Consider the following 17,126-nt stretch of genomic DNA (forward strand, 5'->3'; position numbering starts at 1 on the left):
GCATTATGCCAATGCCAAAACTAAAGACAGACATCAAAAGAAAAAAAATTAAATACCAATATACCTGGTGAACATAGGAGAAAAATTCTAATCAAAAATTTAATGAATCAAATATAATCAAATAGAACAATATATACAAAGGATAATATAATATGAAAAGTAGGTTTTATCCCAGAGATGTTGGATTGCTGTAATGTTAGAAAATCAGTCAATGTAATTCAGCATATTAATAAACTGCAAAAAGAAAAACCATATGATCATCTGAACAGATGCAGAAAAAGCATTAGATAAAATCCATTATCATTTCCTGATAAAAACTCACCAGTCTAGGAATGGAAGAGAACTTTCCCAATCTGATAAAGAACATCTATAAACAACTTACAGCTAACCTGATACTTAATGATGAAAAACTGTGTGTGTTCCCTCTAATATCAGGAATACGAAAATGATGTCTCCTGTCACCACTTATATTCAATATTGAACTGGAGGTACTAATCAGTGCAATCAGGCAGAAAAAAGAAATACAAGGTATCCAGATGGAAAGGAAGAGGTAAAACTGTCATATTCCCAGAGGACATGATAGTCAAGAATATTTTCTCTAAGAAAATCTAATGGAATCTATGAAAAACTCCACTAGTTTTGGTAAGTGGGTTTAGCAAAGTTCTAGGATACAAGATCAATATGCAAAAATCAATTGCATTTGTATGTTCTACCAATGAACAACTGGAAATTAAAATTTGTTTTAAACTATAATTTTCAGTAGCACTGACAATATAAAATTCTAAGGGATAAATCTCACAAAAATATGTGAAAAATCTGTACACTGTAAAAGATAAAACATTGAGAGAAATTAAAGAAAATCTAAATAATTAGGAAGATATGTCTTGTTTGTGGGTGAGATGACTCACTATTTTTATGACATCAATTCTCCCAAAAATGGAGTACAGATTCACTGCAATCCCAAATAAAATCCCAGTCAGCTTTTTTTAGAAGCTGACAAGCTGATTTTAAATGTATACAAAAATTTCAAGGACCTAAGATAACCAAAACAATCTTGAAAATGAAGAACAAGGCAGGAGCCTAACAAAATGTAATTTCAAATCGTATCGTAAAGCTAAAGCTATAGTAATCAAAAGAATGTCGGATTGGCATAAAGACAGAAAAAAATAGATCAATGGAATAGAATCAAGAGTCCAGGCAGTTTTCAGATACTACACGAAAAACATAATTCTTAAAAGAATAAATTGATAAGTTAAACTTCATAAAAATTTAAAATGTCTGTTCTTCAAAAGACAGTGCTCAACTGAAAAGATAAGCCACAGGCTGGGAGAAAATATTTACAAAGTATATATCTGATTTTTAAAAAATCTTTTATCCCAATGTAAAAAGAATTTTCAGAACTCAATAATAAGAAAACAAAAAATCCAATATAAATGGGTAAGTTGTTTAAACAGATACTTTGCCAAGAAGATACCTAGATCTAAATGGCAAATAAGCACAAGAAAAATGCTAGGAAGTATTGTCAGTTATGAGGGAAATGAAAAATCAACATCACAGTGAGGACCATTACACACCCATCAGAGTGACTATAATCAAAAACCCCGACCATACCAAGTACCGAAGAGGATATGAAGCAACTGGAACTCTCAGCAACTTGGCAGTTTCTTGAAAAGTTAACATAAATCTACCATAGGGGTTGGCAATTCCACTTGTAGGTATGAGCCCCAGAAAAAGGAAAGTATATGTCCATACAAAGACTTATACATAAATGTTCATAGTAGCTTTATTTGTAATAGCAAAAAACCTAAAACAACCCAAATGTCCATCAACAGCGGAACAGATAATCATATTGTGGTATATCCATGAACAAATAAATATTCCTCATCAATTAAAAGGAAAGAACTATTGCTACACATTGCAACATAAGATGAATCTCAAAATAATTTCATTGAGTAAAATAAGCCATACCAAAAGCAGAAGAGTACACACTCCATAATTCCACTTACATAAAACGCAAAGATACAAATAATCAGTAGAGCCAGAAACAGATCAGTAGTTGCCTAGAGAGTGGGTGAGAGTGGGCCAGGAGGGTGGCATTCCTGAGGACCATGAGGGCACTTTTGGGGTGACAGATACGTTCACTACCTCTATTGTGGTTATGGTTTCCTGGGTATATACATATGCCAAATTTAACAACTTGTACACTTAAGTATTGTATGTATTGCATGTCAATTAAACCTCAACAAAGCTGTTACTTTTTCAGTAATAATAATTAAAAAAACATAATGAAGGTGATACTCAAAAACAATGTCTGGCTCCATCTAAGGTCTGATAAATGGCAACTCCTGGTCTTCATTCAAGAGTTCTGAGCTGGGACTACAGAGGCAGTAAGATATGCTCCCTGTCCTCAAAGATTCCTCAATGAGGCTGGGAGAGAAACAAGTAAAAAGATTATGACAAACGTAATTGTTTTCGAGTGTTACTAAATTAAATTTGAAGATGGTAAATGGTATAGGGACTGAACAGTCCAACAGAATTGGAATCTTCAAAATAAAAGGAAGAAAAAAATCTTTTCCTTCCCTCTCTTTCTCTGGGTCCCAAATAGAGATTTCTTGAAGCTTTGTGATTCAGCATTCATATCATGGTCTTTTTCTTTGTTTTCTTCAATTAGAGCATTCGCATCTTCCTCTCCCACATTATATATGTGGTGCATAATCTTATTTTCATTTGTTTTACCTTGGTGTGTGCTTTAGGATAGGGAAGATTTGAAAGTCTGGAGTGATGTCCCTGGACTGTTGACAGAGGCCACTCTAAGGGCAAGGACTGATCCCTAAGGATCCTCACTGAGTACTCGTTGGTGACAAACTAGTGTAAGTGATAAGATGGGGGCTGGGGCCTGAGACTCAAAAACAGGAGAGCATCTAGGCAGAAGGTGCTGAAGAAGACCACACACTGGGATGACTTTGTCCTTTGGGTGGCAGATGGGGGGTCTCTTAGGATACAGTCAGATTGTTTAACCCAGTGAGCTCTTCTGTGTGTCAGACCCTCATGCTAGGAACTTTAGGGAACCTCAGAGAAAAGAGATCAGCTTGTTCAGGGAATCAGGCATGTGCATCAATTCCCCAACACAGCAGAACTGGGGTGAGGCTGTGAAAAAATCACCCTACTGGGGAAATACAGAAGTCCTTTTGGCAGAGGCAATGTTAAGCAGATGTCTGCAAGAAAGGGAAGTCCTAGACAATCACAGATTCAGAAGGACATGGCAGGTGGAAAGAAAAACCCTGCCAAAACCCCAAAGCTAGGAGGGAAAAATAAATGCAAGAAAGAAGTCACTCATCCATTTGCAGGGATGACCCATGAGATATGAACGCAATAGTAAGAAGTAAATAAGGGTATAAATGTGGGGTCAGGGTCATCCTGCAGAGGGCTGCAGCAGGCTGGATGAAGTGGGCAGATTTCTTAAAGCTATGTGATTCAGCATTCATATCACAGTCTTTTTCTTTTATCATGCCTTTGTTTTTTCTGTGTCTGAGGAGCCAACCAGAAGGATGGGGACAGTGGTCTCTGAGATCAGGAGCACCAAGAGAGAACCAGTTTTGGGGAGGATGGTGAGTTTGGAAAGAAGTACGCTGAGTTCGAGGTGGTGATGGAGCTTCCAAGTGGCCAAGTCAAGAGGATCTTGAGTCAAGCTGGATCTCTGGATCTGGAGCTCAAGGGCAAGGTTTGGAATGGACGTGAGATGTGGAGTCACCGACTTACACTGACAATCGGGAAGAAGTGGCAAGGGCCTGCTGACTATACCTCCTCCCTTTTTAGAAGTCACCTCCTCCTGGCCGCTGCTGACCCACAGATCACCTCTTAGAGACTCACTCTCTGAGAAAACCCAGGTGCAAAGGTTATGTGTGCATACCCACATCATCTGTTAAGCATCTTAAACCATTTCCAACAAAGTATGTGTGTGCTTTGGTTCAATGTCTGGAAGAATTCATGTAACAATGGAAGCTGCCCAGCAACAAACACAGTGCTTCAAGTCCCCATCAACCTTGGTTCTTCAAGAGGCTGGAGAGTCATACTGATTTTTCTATAGGAGAATTCCCTGCACAAAGTTCCCAAGAGGCCAGACCCACAGGGATCACTGACTCTCCTGGCATCTGCTGGAGGATGTGTGGAGAGGAAACATTTTACCTCAGCTGCTAAAGAGGCTCCAAAAGCCACCCAGCTCATCCAGAGTCAAGGCTGACTGGGCTTGAACTTGGCAACATCTAATGAATGACCCAGAGAGGTCCTTTCCATCGCTGAAACTCAGGACTTAATTGTTGCCTTTGTCTTTTCTCTGAGGCAGACAGGGAAATGCTTGTCAATGCAATTTGCTCTACACTATGTACATTGACCTGCCTTCAAACAAACCTTTGAAGAATCTATTCCTTGCTCAGGGCATTGAGGATTCAGTGATGAGCTGAATCTGGCCATGCCCTCAAGGGACTCACAGTTCAGTGGCCACCTTGACTAATGGTTCATTTTGTTTTCCACAAGTTCTTTTGAATCCCCTACCCTCTCTAAGGTAATCTGCAACCTAATCAGTCAATAAAAATATTCTTTAAATACTTCTAGCAGATATAAAAACACATCCGCTCTCCAGTGTCCCCACAGTAGTGCCCAGAGGCCTATAGGAACTGTTGGTAGGACTCACACTCACAAAGCTTCCTCTGCGTGCAATTATTTCGTCTCCAAATAAACCAGGTCTGTAATACGTAGCACCAATACTCACCAGAAAGAAAAGAGGGTAGATGTAAAGAAAGCAAATAAAAACGTGTGCCCTCAAGTGTTTATTCTGAATCCAGGAAAATGCATAAAACAAATCAAATACAGAGGAGGAAACTGAAAGGCAGAGCCTGTAAGGAATGAGAGGGAGCTGGGGGCACAGCTGGAGGGCCATGCTGGAGGCCCCAGAGACACCTGCGGTGGTCGGGGAGGCACAGACCTGAGCTTGTTTGAGGAACTGAACTTCCTCCAGAGAAGTGGGGAGCAGTTTCAAGAGGTGGGAAGACAAGGACCCAGTGAAGCAGCTGAATTCTGGAGCATGTTGGAAAGTGAGCCAGTAAATGCCTGCCCCTGACTTTCTCTTTTTCTTTATTTTCCCCCTTATTTTATCTCTAGTGATTATATAAGACAAACAGGAAGGTGGCTGAGAAACCATTTGTCTGTGGCTCTATACTTGGATAGCTTAAAAACTGAGCAAAGCCTAAAATGATATCACATTATAATAAGAATAACAGGACTTTTGTGTTCAATTGGGGCCATGCTAAAACCGGAAACAGTAGTCCTGAGTATAGCTGGATCCTAAGGATAAGCCTACTTGTAATTTGGAAAACACCACGGTCCTTAACCAGAGGCTACCCTGGGGTGCCTGGGTGAAAGCTTTCCAACAGGCCCTACCTTCTGATAGAAGACTTCAAAAAAGTCCCTGAGCTGGCACCAAAGGCCAGCCCAAGAGTATTCCCCATCAGTGTGCATACCTGACCCCCACTGACTGACTTCACTGAATCAGATACTGACTGTGAGTTATAGATCTTTGCCAAGGCCATGTGCATGAAACTACTGTTTGATGGAAAAATTTGGAGCCAGACAGTCCTCAAATAGGATCCCAGATACACCATTAATAGCTGCATGACCTTGAACAAGTGATTTAACCTCTGGAGACTCTGTTTTCCCATCTGCAAAATGAGGATAATGACAACCGCCACACAGGGCTGTTGATGAGGACTAAGAAGGTAACAAATGCACTGACAAGTGCCTGGCACATAGTAGGTGATTAAGAAATATTAGCTGGCTGGGCATGGTGGCTCACGCCTGTATCCCCAGCACTTTGGGAGGCTGAGGAGGGCAGATCACTTGAGGTCGGGAGTTCGAGGCCAGCCTGGCCAACATGATAAAACCCCGCCCTACTAAAAATACAAAGATTAGCTGGGTGAGCTGGCACACGCCTGTAGTCCCAGCTACTCAGGAGGCTGAGGCAGGAGAATTGCTTGAGGCCCGGGAGGCAGAGGTTGCAGTGAGCTGAGATCACACCACTGCACTTCAGCCTGGGTGACAGAACAAGACTCCAGTCTCAAAAAATAAAAAATAAAGATAAAAAAAGAAATATTAGATGTTGTCCCTTGCCTCATAGAAAAGGAAGCCAAGAAAGGAGGAAGATGAGGCTCCCTGGAGGCCCCTCACATTTGGAGGAGGACACACTCAGCTCAGAGATATTCACACCATCCATGTGCACTGCCGGGCTGGCACAGGGTACACTGCTGGCCATGGTGAGACACCACAATCCTCTCAGTAGAAGCCGCTCCAGTGTGGCTCCAACAGGTATACCCCATATCTGACTCCTCCTGATGACACTAAACCCTGGGTTCCAGCTGCCCCAGTAATGCCAATGTGCCTACCAGTATGGAATGCCCTAGGGGCACCGCACACTGGTTAGTCTGAAGTTAACGCCAGCCCTGAAGAGTGAGTCAAGAGGGACAGACAGGGGGCCCCTGAGGGTGGGTGGGGATTTGGAGAAAGAAAAGAAAACAGGTTAGGAATGTAAAAACGGAGTAATTCTTTTGAAGACTGGCAACAGAGAAACACTGGCTATCCAGTTTGGAGGATTCATCAAAAAAGTAAAACCAGCATCAGACATTTGACTTCAGGGCCACATGGAATGCATCGTTTCTTTGGAACAAAGAAAACTGGACTATGAAGAGCCACAGAGAAGTCAGCAAACCCCAGAGAATCCAAACTTCTCAAGGATCAAGGCAGTCTCTCACAGGCTCTGAAAACAGGAGGCGGCAGTCATGTCCCTTCTAATTACCAGCACAACCACCTGCACCCCACGGTAAATGGACGGTTACTGCACGTCCCCAGCTGCCCTCTGTGGACATGGAGCTAATAAGATGTGAATTCATGGAGGAAAATCTACGAAAAGTGGACTTTGCAAGTAGTTACAATCTGATACTACCTGCACAATTATTAAAATAAGCCACCCAAGACTATTTCAGCCATATTAGCAAAGAACTAATGAGGAAACAGACATCATAAAAGAATGAATTACCTACATAATAAACCTGCATCTTCCAGAATGAAGCCATTAGAAATTGATCAGTAATTTAGGAGCAGCTGAAGGCCATAGCCATGATGAAAGCTTGCACCAGGAACACATTCTGAGTCAGCTTTTAGTGAATATAGTGCACTGAGGTCACACAGGCCACCCCGGTAGTGCTCCTCAAAGGATATGTGGGCAGAGGGGATTCTTTGGGAAAGCTAGAGTGTGTGATTTCAGGCCACTCTTATGCAATGCCTGCAGCGTGGAGGAGGCCAGGGCCAGACAGGGTACAAGTAATGAAAAGCAGGCCAGGCCACCACGATCCCTGGTGTTGCCATTCCTCCCTGGGGCCAAACTGGTGGGATGGTCAGTCATGGGAGAGACTTTCTATTTACTCCCTTTACATGGGTACACTTATCCCTACACGTACTGGTTGCACACACAAACATACTTACACACACGCATGCACACACAAACACACATGCACATACAACCCACACAGCATTCACACAAACTCATATACAGATATATGCACTTTCATACATACACACCCAAACATATACATACACAAACTCACGTATACACACTCATGCACACACACTCATACATACATACACACTCACATGCACACATAAAATTTGCACATGCACACCCCTGTACATACACTCAACACATTCAATTCACACACAAAGACACATACACACTTGTACATGCACAATCACACACATATTCACACATACATTTATACATGCACACACACACAGACACACATATACACACACATACACTTGCACATGCATGCACATACCTGTCACACACTCAAACACATCCACACACATATACACACACCTGCACACACACATCCACGAACATGCATGTTCACACACTCACACCTACACACCACACAACTCATACACAAACACACATACACACTCACATCATAAACACAGACATACACACACACACCTGGATTCACACTCTCGCACGCATGTGCACACCCTGCATACACACTCTTGCTCACACTCATGCACACCCTTACCATCTTGCATGAAATTCAGCCTTCCTCTCCTACTCATTCCTTTGCCCCACCCCCTCTGCATCCCAATTCATGACCTGCCCTAATTGCTCCAGCCCCTGGCTCCCACTGGCTGCCTCACCTCACCTAGCACACCTCATCCCTGCCACCACTGCCCTCTGACTTTTGACTTCCTCATGGACCCAGGTCAGGATTCTTTCTCTCGTTCCCACCTGCCAGGTGAGCACCCTGCTAGGTCAAGTTCAACTCTTTGAGTTTTTGCCTGGGCTAGGTGGAGCCCCAGGATTCACAACAGCCCCCTAAGTCAGAATTGAACTGAAAAGAATCACACTGAGCTTTACAAGGGGCTAGGGGCTCAGTCCAGGCCGTGCTCATCACATTTCTAGAGCCCTTACCTCATTCACAAAGACCCAGTGGCTGTCCTTGGAAGCCAGGTTGGTCTCCACGGCCTGCAGAGAGAAAAAGAACGAACATGAACAGAAGCAAGACAGAAGCTGGCAGACACAGGATGATTGCCGAGACAGAGTTTTATAAACATTGTTCTTGGAGAATATTTTCCTCACAAAACATGCCATCCCCCTGGGGCCTGCTCTGGCTGCCTTAGCTGCAAGAAGCTTCATCTGAACACAGACATCTGATTTCCTGCTCTCCCTCCACGCACTCCTGCACCAGCCCAGAGCAAGATTAGACGCTTGGGTTCCTGCAGGCAGCACAGGGTCACAGGCACAGGCACAGGCACAGCCCCCCTTCCCTAGGAATGCCTGCAAACACCTTTCTGCAGGGGCGCTTAGGGGATGAGTGTTATCATTACTCCAGGCTACAGAATCAGGAAACTGGAACGAGGGATTTATGGGGGCTTGTCTAGTCCAGCTGTACTGAGTGACATTCAGGAAGACAGCAGCTCACAGCAGCTCTGGGGCTCCGAGTTTCCTTCAGTTCTTTAGGATCCATAGAACAAAGCTCTTTGTAGCTCCTGGGCCGTAGCCCCATCCCGTAACTCTCTATTAGTGTTTTGTTCTGTTTCTTTATGGCACTTGCCATCTTTGTGCTTGAATGGCTATCAGTTTACTTATTTCTTATTGTCTGTCTCCTCTGCTAGAATATTTCTTATTGTCTATCTCCTCTGCCATTATGTCAAAGGCCATATCTCCTAGGTCACAGCTGTGTCCCAATAGCTGTAACCAGCACACAGCAGGTATTCAGCAAACATTGTTGATTATGCAAATGAAGTGGAAGGCCAAGGCAGACAGAACTCAGTTAATTATTTTGTTTCCTGTATGTGTTTATGAGTGCTTTCCCTCTCCTTCAATTGAAAAGCCAACAGATTGGAAGAATTGGAAGAGACTGATGGTTTCCAAGCATGTCCTGTATGAATACATCCCGTGAGCAGGTGCCAAGTGCTTGCTGAGCCTGGGCACTGAGCCAGGCTGACTATGAACCTGGACAAGAGCTATCAGATTGGAGTCCTGTTTTTTTGTTTGTAATGTAATTTTATTATTCCTTTTATCAAAAAAAAAATGCAGAAACATAAAAATGCTCAACATCCCATAATCCCATCCCATTAAAAAAAATATGCTGACATAGTGAAAATTCCCCCTTTATCCCTCCAAATTTACCCTCTAAATGTTGTTTGAGGTGTCACCTTCTAGAAGATTTTACAGTTACCTCCGCAAGTAAATAGCTACAAATAGATATCAGACAAGTGTTTTCATTAAAATCAGACCATGAAATACATATCCAGTTAAGACTCTAGTTTTTGATTTATCAGTGTAACACAAATATCTTTCCTCATCAGTACACAGAGATCTGACTCACTCCCAACAAATGAGGCATGGAGGTGTCGGGGCCTGTGCCAACGACCCCACAAATGACCCTAGGTCTGCATGGTGCTGCAGCCTGCAAACTGTCATGCACAGGGTGCATCTCTCTTGCACTGGAAAGAAAAGAGGCTGCAAGGGATGCTAAGCCATGTACCTGGGTATGCTACAAGGCTGTATCCTGAAGACACTTTCCTCCCCTTTCTACAAACTCAGTTAACCGGGCTCTCTCCAGAGAAGCTGCAAGGGCTAAAGAGCCAGAGCTCAAAGGAATCTTCAGTCAGGATAGAGAAAGGAGGACACTTCAGCGTGGAGTCTCAGCCACCCCATCCAGAGCCTCTCTCCTGTCAACATGCAGACTTTCAGGGAGGTCTTCAAAAGCCTGGAAGCACTGATGAAGAGGTGGAGGGAGAAGTGGAGACAGGGTGGGCTGAGAATGCTCTGAGCGCATCGCTGGGCTCTAGCTCACCTCGATTCCCAACAATTCAACATTTCCTTGACACTCATGTGGAAGACACTGGCAATACTCTTATCAAATGTGCACAGATGCAAATCTGGAGGATGTCATAACATCTCAGTGGCTGGAACACTGAACTGAATCTAAAGACTTGTGGTTTAGCAAGACCAAACTCAAAGTCCTACACTCAGTTTCCAGGAGCAAAAAGGCAAATGGGGAAATGAAGTTTGAAAGCAACACTCTTGAGGAAAAACCAAAGGGGACTGCCTCCACCTAGCTGTCACTTAACCACTCTGGTCTCTGTTCCTTCGTAAAAGGAACAGATAACACTTGCCCCTTCCCGTCTCCCAAGGTATGTAAAAGCACATCGCTGGGCTCTAGCTCAACTCATGGAAAGGAGGGTGTGGGAGGAGTTTGTTCCACCCCTTGAAGGGTTGACCTAACCAGGTCACCCCACTTGATGAAGGACAATGCACACTATAGCCCAGTCATGGAGAGGGACAGTTAAAGTGATCAGGGATGCTTACAGGTGGGACAATATAGGTGTCTTTAAATTGTCATGTGCAAGAGAGATTGGAATTGCTCTATGCATCCTCTGAGTGTTGACCTACAGCCAATGGCTCCCATAATCAGGGAGGCAGATATCAATTCAATATAGGAGACAACTTTCTGACTTTCCAAGTCATTCAAGATGAAATGGGGTGCCTCAGGAGTAGCGACGTCCCATCCCAGGAAGTGCCTGAGCAGAAGGTGAGCAGTGCTCTCTTTACAGTGCCGTGTTTTCTAAGAAGGTTGACCATTTGTGAGAGGTAAAGCTTTATCATGCACTGACATTCTTCAGCAATGATTCTCCAGTCCGGCTGTGTTTAAGAACCTCCTAGGGAGCTTTAAAAAAGAGGGTCCCCAGGCCCCACTGCTAGGGATCCTAATTCACTGGTAATTGTGCTGTGTCTGAGGTCCTGTGCTGTTTCAGAGCTCTGACCCTGCCTCTTGGCTTCAGGGGCTGAGAGCCCTGCTTCAGAATATGTAGTTCTGTGAATCTGAAGGTCTGGGTATACCTGTGCAGGTGAGAGGTTCTCTGCTTGTCCTGGAAGAAGCCAGCAGTGCAGACAACCTGACTCAGTTGCTGGGAGACCCCAGGGAGCAGGTGGGAGCCTTGGCCACCCTAAGAAGTACTTCCACCTAGTATCAGACCCATGCAGGGAAGATATTGGTGGAGACAATTGATCAGAAAACCCCACAGGACAACTGGTCAACTTTTCTGTCCTACTTTTCCTCACCAATTAAGCATCAGCTAATTTGTTAAGCCTCTTTTCCCCACATGGAGATAAATAGTGCTTTTCTGCAGCCTTTTCCAGAGGGTGCCACTCGCACAGAGGCTGAGATAGATGGAGAGAAGGAGAAGCTACAGCAGATTTAGCAGGAACACTGCCTGCCTCCCCCTGTCCCCCATCAACCCGCGCCACTCCAGCAATTACTGGAGGGCTGCCAGCTCTGTGGGAAGAGCCCTAAATGCTCACACCCCAGTGGGCAATGTCCCTCCCAGCACCATTAATTCCCCTTCTAAGTGCTGCCCTTTTCCTTTTCCTCTCCAGCTACAACTGCAGCAGGTGGAGGCAAGTCCTCCCTTTCGTCTGCAGAGTGAGAACACTATAGAGAGTTCCAGCAGGCAGGCAGAGTACATTGGAATCCCAGTTCTGCCACTTCCTGGCTGAGTGCTCCTGGGTGAGCCTTTTCACTTCTCTGAGCTGCAGTTTCCACACCCATAAGGCTTTTGAATACCAACAGTGCTACAGGGGGCTCTGCCCACAGTCCCTGTGAATCCTGTTAGCATTTTTTATTACACTGACTCAGCATGTTTGCTCACTCCCAACACCAGCCAACACCCCCAATTCAGGCTGCCTGAACCCTGCTTGGCACTCACGGTGCCTTGGAATGCACACCCCTAACCAGGGGCCCAGAGTGCCACGAAAACAAATCCCAGCTGCCTTGCTCCCTACTGGGGACTTCTCCAGAGTGTGATCTCAGCTTTTCAGGATGGAGCCAAAATCACCTTGTTTGGCTTCCTTTATGTTCCTGTTCCAAGTCCCCACTTCCCTGCTGTCTTTCTTTTTTTAAGTCCCCATAATTTTTAATAAATCATTGTCACACACAAAAATTCATCTCCAAGTCTACTTCTGCGAAGTCAACTTGAGACAAACACCTCCCACTTAGGGTTATTGTGAGAGTCAAATGAAATTACAGGTGACACTTCCAGCCCAGGAAGGCTCTCACTAAAGATGATCAGTCAGCGCAAAGTTCCTCCCGTTCCTTCTACTGGAGTCTCCAGCCTGCTCTTGATTCGATGGTCTCTTGAAGTACACGTGCATAATCCCTCATTCCTTCCTTCCTTCATTCAACAGACAGAGCCCACCCAACCCCAACAGGCCATCCTAATTCTCCTGGGTAGGGGAGTGGACCAGGAGCCTCATCTCTGCCATCATGGATACACCAGGGCAAAAAGACCAACAATCAATACAGCTTTGCAAAGTGGTGGGCACCACCACCTCCATGTGCTCCCCTTCAAGGCAGCAGGACGTGGTGTTTCCCTCCCATCTTGGCCACAGTGTGGATCGAGCTGCATAATGCTGTGGGCATCAGCACAGAAGTGATGACCCGGTCAGACAAGCAAAGGGCAGCCCCTGTATCCTGTGGGCGGGGAGGGAAGGGGGGCCGGCCTTCTGCTCAGGGTGGGCTCCCAGCAGGTGGGGTGGCTGGTTCCCTGCTGTCTGCAGTTAGACTTCTCTCCTGAAGCTAGACACTGTGGCTGAGGGACACAAACCCCGTGGGAGCTGGGAACTAGGGCCCAATAAGCCCAAAGGAATTGCTGCGGTGGCCAGATGCCTGCACCCCTCTAAATTGCTGTGAATCCCACGAGACCTAGCCAAACCACTGGGCCCATCTGCCTGGCTCCTGTGGCCATGATACATTGGCAAACACAGAACTTCAGAAGAAGAATTAAGGATGTAAGAAGTTGCAAAGCATCCAGCTGACTTCTCTTCTAGCCCCTTTTGAATGGAGGAGACAGCAGATGCTGATGGTGGTACTGGCACATGAGACAGCTGCGAGGCTGGGTGCAGTCAGCCAGGGGTAAAAGGCACAGCTGAGTGTCCACACGTGTGTTGACTTATGTGTATATCCACATCTTGACACCCACATTCCACCCTCTGGAAAGAAAAGTGTGCTGTTATAGGCAAACTCCAGCTAAAGAAGGCCGAAGGCAGCTGTTCTTCCCACGTCTGGGGAGCCGACTGTGGAAGGGAATGTGTCTCCCTGCTCGAGAGCAACAGCCCCAATCTGAACCTCAGGTGCCTTTTCCCAGTGACACCCAAGAGCTGAGTTGTAAGTGACACAGGACACCAACAGGCCATTCTGCAGGCCCACTGAGGGCCAGAGGACATTTGGGTCCTGCCCTGGCCACCCTGATCTCACGATTTTCATAGGGAAATAGATGTGGGCCACGTACTGGCTCCCAGCTTCCAAACAGACTCTGCACAGAAAGGAGTCCCTGAGCACTGACAAGAATGTCAAGGGTGGAGGCAGCTCTCCTAGACTGGTGCTGGGGAGAGCTGACAGCTGCCCCTGGACCATATGGTGGTGAGGATTGGTTCTAATATCCAAGAGCCTGGAAGGAAGTAGAGAAGACAGTGAGGCTGAGCGCATTGGAGGAGGCATCTCCAGTCTGGGTCCCCTTCCTCTGTGTCCTTGGCTTTTCACTCAAGACTAAGTTGGAGCCATTTCCAAGGGCGACGAGAGCTTGCTTTTATTAACCACCCCCCAAGATACTTCAATACAACATCTCCTCTGCTTTACAACCCACACACCTCATTTACTCCCAACAACTTAACAAGCCATGCAGTGTTCTTATCCCTGCTTCACAGATGGGGAACTGATACCTCAATCTAGACTCGTATCTTGCAGAAGGTCCCTTAGCCAGTATTCAGCAGAGGTTAGATTTGAACTACGGCCCAACTGTCTCCAAAGCCTGTGTTCTTTCCTTTGGTCATGCTGCTCTCTGAAAGCCCCAGATAACTGTCTGAAAAAGTTTTTGGGTCTGAACCTGGCCCCGTAACAATGGGAACAAAATGGTCTTTTTTCTCATATCTGAGAAAACACCATTATAAGTCACGGTGCTGTCCTTCTCCAGGTTAACTTGTTCTCATAAGCCTGAAACCATTATTCCACTTGCATTTCTTAAGTGTGAGACTGTTTCTCTTTATCTTGGCCTAAAGGAATAGTAAATGGAGTGGAAAAAACCTCCACATGGAAGCCTTCCAAACACATCCCTGAGGATTTATTTTACAAAGTGCAAATGCCACCAATTATTTATGTATGTGTTAATTGTTGACCACTTATCTAGGCATCCCCCCAACACTGGGAGCCTGAGATAATGAAAGCTTGTCAGCAATTAGCATCTTTTTAAAACCCCAACTCTAACATTTGGGAACATTCCCCCCGTGAAGCCCAGGGCCTGGCACTTTCCCAAGGACAGATATTGAGCTCACGTTAAAGGCCCACCGCTGCCTTTGCAACAACATGTCATTTAGGAACAATGCTCTCTGTGCAATGTCACCCCTCCAAAGCATGCAGGAGCGCAACGCCCCTCCATTTGCAAGGAAGGGGTGTAGCTAGCTGCAGGAGGATGGATTATTTGAAGAGCCTGTTTAAAAGGAAATCAGCAAAGCAGACACCATGAGGCCCGAGTTTTCAGAAGTTATGCCGGGAAGCATGAGGAAACCCCTAAAGAGCGGTTATCACAGAACTTTCTCAGCCACCCTGTGTCTCCTGGGGGCCTGCCTGCTTGGAAAAACGTCCCAAGATGCTGACTCAGCTGCTTCTCCTTGCCCCAGCCTTGTCTCTGGAGCCTCTTTGGTCTTTGTTTCACCAGAAAACTGCCCTGAAGTTCTCTTCATCTCCCAAGACTCCTAATTCTGGCTCCATCCTTATTCTTAGATCCCACTGGGGAATCTTGGATCCCAGAAGGTCTCTTTTCCAGTATTTTGTCCCAAGCCTTTCCCAGGAGCCAGCCCCTCCTTGATGGTCATCTGTTCCCATCTCACCCATCTCTTTGCTCGAGGATCCTTGAAGTCCAAGGCCCCCACCCTTGGCAGGAACAGGAAACACCCCATCTGGGCAGAGGGAAAAGCAGTTGAACATGGGGGAGTGCATGGGCTCAGGTCACTGAAGGATGGTGGAGACAAGGCAATCACTCCCAGCTCTAGGAAAGCCATCTGAGAAAGCTGTATCAGAATTTACCCTGTGAAGCACTAAACCACAGCTCTGGGGGAGGCTGAGAGGGCTGTTTTCCTGGAAGAAAGCTGAACCTGCCTCTTAGGAGTTCAGGGAAGGCACTGGCTGGGAAAGGCTGGAGGGGAAGGCTGGTTGCAGGCTGGGGGCAATCGCTGGCATTTACAGAACACCTCATCCAGCCCAGACCCTGAGCTAAGCCCTCTACACACGATCCCTCCCTGAGTCCTCACAATGGCCTACTGAAAGAGGCTACTGAGCTGCAGCCTACAAATGGAAAAACCAAGACTCAGAAGGATGAAGTGATTTTCCCAAAGTCTCCCAGAAAGTCAGTGTAACCAGGCCTTTCCAATGCAAAACCCATATGGTTTCTACCGTGTTCCACTGACTTGGGCACCAAGAAAAGACGAAACTCAATCTCTGCATGTTTCATAGGTGTTTGGTGCAAAAACAACAGCTAAGCCAGAAGGTGATTCAGGCGACAGTGATAGTGGTGACTGGATAGTGGGGGCCTGGAGAGCTACAGGGCCTTCTGCAAAATCTGATCCTGGTTTCCAGAGTTTCCTGTCACCCCCTTTCAAAATTCCTGGATCACATGCACCTCTGGTTGTCAAAGGATTTTTTTGCATATGGGGAGTAGCCTCTAGTCCCTCACTAGGAAGTGAGCTCCTGGAGGCCAAAGCCTGGTCTAATTACCACGAAGCCACTTGTGGGACACAGCACCTGGCAGACAGTGAACTTCAAAATGTGCCTACAGAATGAATGAATGGGTGATTCACATTTCCAGAGCTGAGTAGAAGGAAGGCCAGGAGCATAAACAGAAACCTTACTACAGTTAAAAAGAATATGAATGTACAGGTGGCCTTTGCTTTGCATGGTGCATGGTACTCTGGTAAACAAAACCCATGCATATGGAACTAGTGTCCTCACTTTGCACGAACTTCATTATACACTTGATTTTTGGTTAACATTGTGCCATGCAAAGTTAGTGCTGCCTGTATTTGCAATTAACACCCCCTTTCTACACATCTGAGAGGATCTGAGAAAGAAACAAAGTGAACTTAAAGTGGAGGAATGCAAGATGCCCTGACCTTTAGGAGGTGATGGAAACATGATCAAATTCTAGAGCTTTTCCTCCAGGATACAATTGTTTCTTCATTTGTACTGAGCGTTGAACCTCCTGATGCTAGTTCCCATATATCATGCCTAACAACATAGTAAGTTCTGGACTAGTTTGGTCAATGACATTTAAAAAGATATTACTGAAAGAGAGTTCACTGGAAGAGAGAGTGTTCAGCATTAGACTTTTTTGACATTGGCTCAGATCTCTGAAAAACTATTATGTTGCTATGGAAAAACAAGAAAGAAAGAAAGAATAATTGACTAAATTCATGTAAAATTCTGATAGATGTGAACAATTTCTAGTAAATCATTAGACCTCCCTGGCCTCAGTCC

General features: G+C 45.4%; 1 protein-coding gene across 1 annotated transcript in view; it reads right to left on the reverse strand.

The window, feature by feature from the left end:
• GRID1 (glutamate ionotropic receptor delta type subunit 1) overlaps positions 1–17,126 on the reverse strand; it is a 767,244-nt gene that overhangs the window by 308,128 nt on the left and 441,990 nt on the right. Inside the window, exon 5 of the mRNA NM_017551.3 lies at positions 8,507–8,560. Within this exon, the coding sequence (NP_060021.1) occupies positions 8,507–8,560 (54 nt within the window). The remainder of the gene's footprint in view (positions 1–8,506; positions 8,561–17,126) is intronic.

Source organism: Homo sapiens, chromosome 10 (genome assembly GCF_000001405.40).
Source record: "Homo sapiens chromosome 10, GRCh38.p14 Primary Assembly".
Classification (NCBI taxonomy): domain Eukaryota; kingdom Metazoa; phylum Chordata; class Mammalia; order Primates; family Hominidae; genus Homo; species Homo sapiens.